At 41.3% G+C, this 5,547-nt stretch overlaps 1 annotated feature.

Annotated features, from left to right (window-relative positions):
• Window positions 4,338-4,507: an enhancer, noted in NCBI's record as "experimental_32870 CRE fragment used in MPRA reporter constructs". NCBI's record gives its function as "activates a minimal promoter by MPRAs in K562 erythroleukemia cells, with activity observed for the introgressed 13:39538937 variant allele {active_cell/tissue: K562}" and the evidence as "EXISTENCE:reporter gene assay evidence [ECO:0000049][PMID:34662402]".

Below are 5,547 nucleotides of genomic sequence, written 5' to 3' on the forward strand. Positions count from 1 at the left end.
TACTAAGATGTTACAACTGGCTCAAAGGAGAACTCAAAATGGCACACATATATCTAGAATGAGAGTCCTGACATGAATTTATAAATAAATGCTATCTTGGTCTATTTTCTGTTGCTGTAACAGAATACTTCATACTGGCTAATTTGTAGAGAAAAGGAATTTATTTCTTACAGTTCTGGAAGCTGTGAAATTCAAGATTGGGCAGTTGCATCTGACAAGGGCCACATGCTGTGTCATAACATGGTGGGATCACATGTGAGAGTGTTGAGCAGGTACTTGCAAAAGAGAAAGAAAACACAAGGGGTGATCTCTCTTTGTAATAACCCCACTCTTGCAGTAACTAATTCTGTCTCATGATAGTGAGAACTCACCTCCGAAGCACTGCATTAATCTCTTCTTGACAGTTGATCCCTCATGACCTAAATGCCTCTTAAAGTCCCCCCCTCCCCCACAATCCCTCAATGCCATTACATTGGGGACCAAGCCTCAAAATGAGTTTTGGTAGAGACAAACCATAGCAGGTACAAAACTGGTCACTATCCACTGGATAACAGTCAGTCGTATTCACTGCATTCCTATGGGCAAAAATCATTTACATTGCTATCTATTTTCTACAACTTAAAGAATTGTAAAATAATTCAATGACGATGAAAGGTGGAGCTCACCTGGATAGATGAGCTAGGTGAGACCTCCATTTAATCTTTTGGTGCCCATTTCAAACTCATTCACAATTTCTCCTGATGTTCTCAACCAATGAAGAATAGAATTTGGTGGCTATATAGCACAGCTTCCTTGTCCCTTAATGAGATCATTCTGAGATGTGTTCCACACAACTTCTCAGAGCGTCCTCAGTGGGATTGAGCCCCATCAGCTCCAGCAGTAAATTCAACAACAAAATTCTTTGGCTTTCCTCCCTCCCAGCTCACTTGCCCATTCCCTCGGAGTACTTCCTGGCATAACCTTTCACATAAACTTAGACAAAATCCTTGGCTCATGGTCTGATCTGGAAGGAGCCCAAACTAATATAGATTCCCAGTTCATGAACTTAAGACACTGCTCACAGATTGAAAGAGGTTTTTATCTTCAGAACCTACTCTCAGCATATAGGAAATGAGAAGTTCCATGATAGGTTCCACCCATTCCTCCCCTCTCCACGTCCTCCATCACCACCACCACCACCACCTCCCAGAAGGTTGCCCCAGCTGATCAGCATCATTTCCTAATGAAGAGCATTTAAAAAACAGTTAACTCAAGGGAATACTAAGCTTGTCTGTGTATGCTGGCATCCTGGGAACTCTGAGGTCAGTGTGCAGACTTGCAGAGCTCACAGGTGTTCCAATAATAACTAGTTAACTAGTTTGTTTGGACATCCGCTGCTTCAGCTGCTACTTTACCCACTTCCACCAACATGTCCAGCCTGGGAGTGGAAGGTCATAATATCCATCCACAGACCCAAGATGAGGAAGCTGTACATTAACATGTAGAAGTGTGTTTCCTAGGCCACAGCTCTGACAAGGAAAAGTGGCAAATTGTATTCTGAAAAAAAAAAAGTCTAAACCCCCTTTATTTTTTCAATCGTGTTGACTACAAGGGATGGATTGGCAAGATATGAGCCATGTTGCTGCCACTCTCAGACCCAGTTGGTTTCTCTGCACCCTTTCATCTCTGAATTCTATGTTAGATATTAAATAATGGTCCTTAAAGAGAAAAAAAAAATCCCATGCAAATAAGCAACAGAGTCCTGAGAAACCTGCAGAGAGAGAGGTCAATTTTGTAAATAGAATCAATATCATCTCTTTATCCACCCAACCTAAAGGAAGCAAAAACAGATAGGCCATTTCTGTACCTCATTTGAGGAAAAAAAATGAATATGGCTCAAAAGATAATGGCTACTTTGCTTATGTCCCAAGAATGAAAATAATATAGTTAAGTATTTTTAGGAATGGAAGATATTCTAAAGTTATTTAAAATTTCTTTTCTGCCTTTCTGAGTACATGATGCTTGAGTTATTTACTTTTTATGGAATTGGGAGTAAGACATAATTAGGATGCACTGGAAGGAATATAAAGTGCATCTGACATTGAAAAAACAGGATTTTATAGCAAGACAATAACCTTCCAAGCCAGGCAATTATCACTGTAAAGGACTATATAAATTGCTTTATTTTCCCCTTTAGAACATTAAGGGCTAGGCTTGAAAGAAGTGAAAGCTTGTCTATTCTAGTGTCAGGGAATCCTGTGAAAGAAGGATTAAGGGAGGGATGGAAGGAGAGAAAGAGCAAAGACTACATTAGGTAAGTGAAGCTAACTGCAAGAGCAGAGCCAAAGGGGGATCTTGCCCCTCACTCTCTCATATCCCATTTAGGACCTGGAAAGTGGTCACCTACCAAGGAATCCCTGCTCCAAGTAGGGCACAGCCAAATACACTTAGTGAAATGTGTGCATGATGCCAACAACCACTAGAAATTGGATTGACCCAACATTCAATGTGAAGTAGGAAACGTTAGTCTTCCCCGCCACTCAATTGCTTTAGATTTGAGAGCCATACTGATCAAAACTCTGTCATATCTTGATTCTGTGACCTTAGGCAGGCCACTTCACTTCTTTGGGTCTCTGTTTCCTAGTCTGTTACATGCAATGATTCCAAGAGGTTTTTAAAAGGGACCACTGTGAAAGGGAATTGGGAGTGAGGGGAAGAAAGAGATCAGCAGATGGAGCCCCATGCCCTCCTTCACTACTGCAGCCAGAGGAGCTCCCTTTTTGTCAATTGTATATACATTCATGTATCACTTTATGATCAGGTTACAATCTGAAAAATACATCATTAGGCAATCTGTTCTGCAAACATCACAGAATGTACTTACATAAACCTAGATGGTATTGCCTGTTACACTCCCAAGCTATATGGCATAGCCTATTGCTCCTAGGTACAAACCTGTACAGCATGTTACTATGTGTGACTGTAACACAATAGTATTTGTGTATCTAAACATAGAAAAGGTACAGTAAAATTACAGTATTATAATCTTATGGGACTACTATTGTTTCTGTGGTTTTTCATTGACCAAAAGTGTATTATATGACATATAACTATTGGGTTTCACTTTAAATTTTTATTTAAAGAATATTTCGAGGTTTTAAAAATAATGGCTAGAAACCACTGGATTAGATGACCTTCAAAGTCTTCTCCAGGTTTCATTTCCCCCAGTCCAGACTCCTTTGCAGCATCTCCCCCATTCCTCAATCTCTCAGTGCCTTTCCATTGTCCTCTGGCAGCTCAGAAGCTCTTGGAATGAACATTTACCACAACTAGCATTCCACCTGCAAGCATCTGCTATGGTCTGAATGTCTGTGTCACCCCCAAAATTTATACGTTGAAATCCTAACCCCCAATGTGATGATATTAGGAAGTGAGGCCTTTGGAAGGTGATTAGGTCATGAGGTGAGAGCTGTCCTGATTGAGATTAGTGCCTTTATAACATAGAGGCAGAGAGATCCCTCACCCCTTCCACCAACTGAGGACACAGGGAGAGGGCCCAGTCTATGAATTGGTCTCTCACCAGACACCAAATAGGCTTGCACCTTTATTCTTGGACTTCCCAGCCCCCAGAACTATGAGAAATAAATTTCAATTGACAGTTTATAAGCTACCCAATTTATGGTATTTTGTTACTACAGCCTGAACTCACTGAAATAGCACCACCAGTATCACTGGTATTACCTCCAGGCCCAGCAACAAAGGGGCGATGTCTGTGATGACTGGGGACTTCGAACCCTGCTTCAGCACTATGGTCATGCCAATCCTTTCCTGTTGTTAAAACAGGAAAACCACCTGATTGGGATTATCTGCACTGGCTTCAATATCGGTGGTGATGACCGTGAGCCCTGGAGCTGCATTACAAGGAGAATGGACACTTCTCTCTACAAGAGAGGTTGTCTTCTCTTTCCCCCTTCTGGCCTCACCCTGCCTTCCAACTTCCCCCACCACCCCAGAAAACAAACAGACAAAAAAAAAAAAAAAACACAAACAAGCAAAAAAAAAAAAAAAACCTTTAGTCTTATTCTAGAGGTGCATATGACTGTGTTTTGAATATCAGCCTTGGCATTCACATTCCAGAAGAACTCTGACCCTTTCTTGATTCTTCTCCAGACCCTTGGCCACAAAATATACTCACCTTCATAGGAGCCTTCTTTAGTCAGCCTTTAGTAACTAAGGCAGTAAGTGATTTATTATAATGCTAAAGAATTAATGAAGCTTTGTACTGGAGGAGGTGGAATAATTTGAATTTCCCAGGAAGTTTTCAAACTGCATTTCCCACAGCCTCAAATATTCTGATACAGCTCTCATACCCCCATTGCCAATCCACAGGGATGCAAGCAGGTTGTACATTTTAAAAAAGAGGTTCTAAATGAGTGAGACAATGTTTACCTCCAGCAAGAACCACTAGTTTACAGTTTGATGTACATTGCCAGGAAAGATTTGCATTTTTAATGCAAATCACTGAAACCAAAAAAAAGGAATAACTCTAGACTTCTGGAACAAGGCTAAAAAGAGATTTTTGCAGTGGGCCACCAAGATGTCCTTGTATAAGCAGAGCCTCCTTCTCGCATGGCTCTCAGTGTCGGAGGTGCCCTGGCCTGGGTTGAACCTGTGTCATTGTTGTGAAGATGTAAGGGCTATCAGTTAAGTGTCTAAATAGCATAACTTCATGGACTCAGATTCTGGCTGATGTGGGTGACCTATCTTAGGTTTCTGCCTATGTCCCTAAGTCCTCAATCCCTGTTAAAAGGCAAGTTCTTAGTAAATAATGAAAATGTATGAGCCTTAGTGGGTTAAACATGAGTGCTGGAGTCATCAAGTCAGTAGGATCAAGCACTAGATTCAGAAGCTGTGGATTGTCCAAAAATCATACGGTTTCTTGGGGTTGGGGGAGGGTTATGAAACAAAGATAGAGCGTGATCCCCATTTTGCACTATGTAGCTGATGCCTATGTGTCGAAAGGATGTGTGTGATAAGGACAGGGAGGGGATGGGAGCAGAGGTGGAGGATGTGAGGGTGGGGAGGTTATATGGAGGGTATGTGTGGAGTGTGAAAAGGAGCATGAAGCACGTGGGAATGGTGTGCTCACACATACACATATGTGTGCATGCACATGTAGTCCTGGACACTACAGTAGGTGCCTGGACTTCCAGAACCTAAAAGTTTGGTGTTGACAGCAAAAAGGAACTAGAGTGCTCTCTCTCCTTGGCTCACACTTCCTCAAAATAAAACTTGATGATGTTTAGGAGCAAGGACTTTGGACTGAGACATGGTTTTCTATCTTAATCCAACACTCACTAGCTGGGGAATCTTGGCCACATTATTTAGCCTCATAATATCACTTCCTTATCTGTAAAATAAAGATATTTTGTGGCATCCCTAAAGGGCTAAGCACAGTGTAACACAAAGACGATCCATAAATAATAACTTTTAAAAATTCTAGCCCATTTCTCAAAACTGATTCCAAAAAGAAATTGCACCATGGCAACGAAATAACCTCCCAAAAAG

This window comes from Homo sapiens, chromosome 13 (genome assembly GCF_000001405.40).
Source record: "Homo sapiens chromosome 13, GRCh38.p14 Primary Assembly".
Classification (NCBI taxonomy): Eukaryota; Metazoa; Chordata; class Mammalia; order Primates; family Hominidae; genus Homo; species Homo sapiens.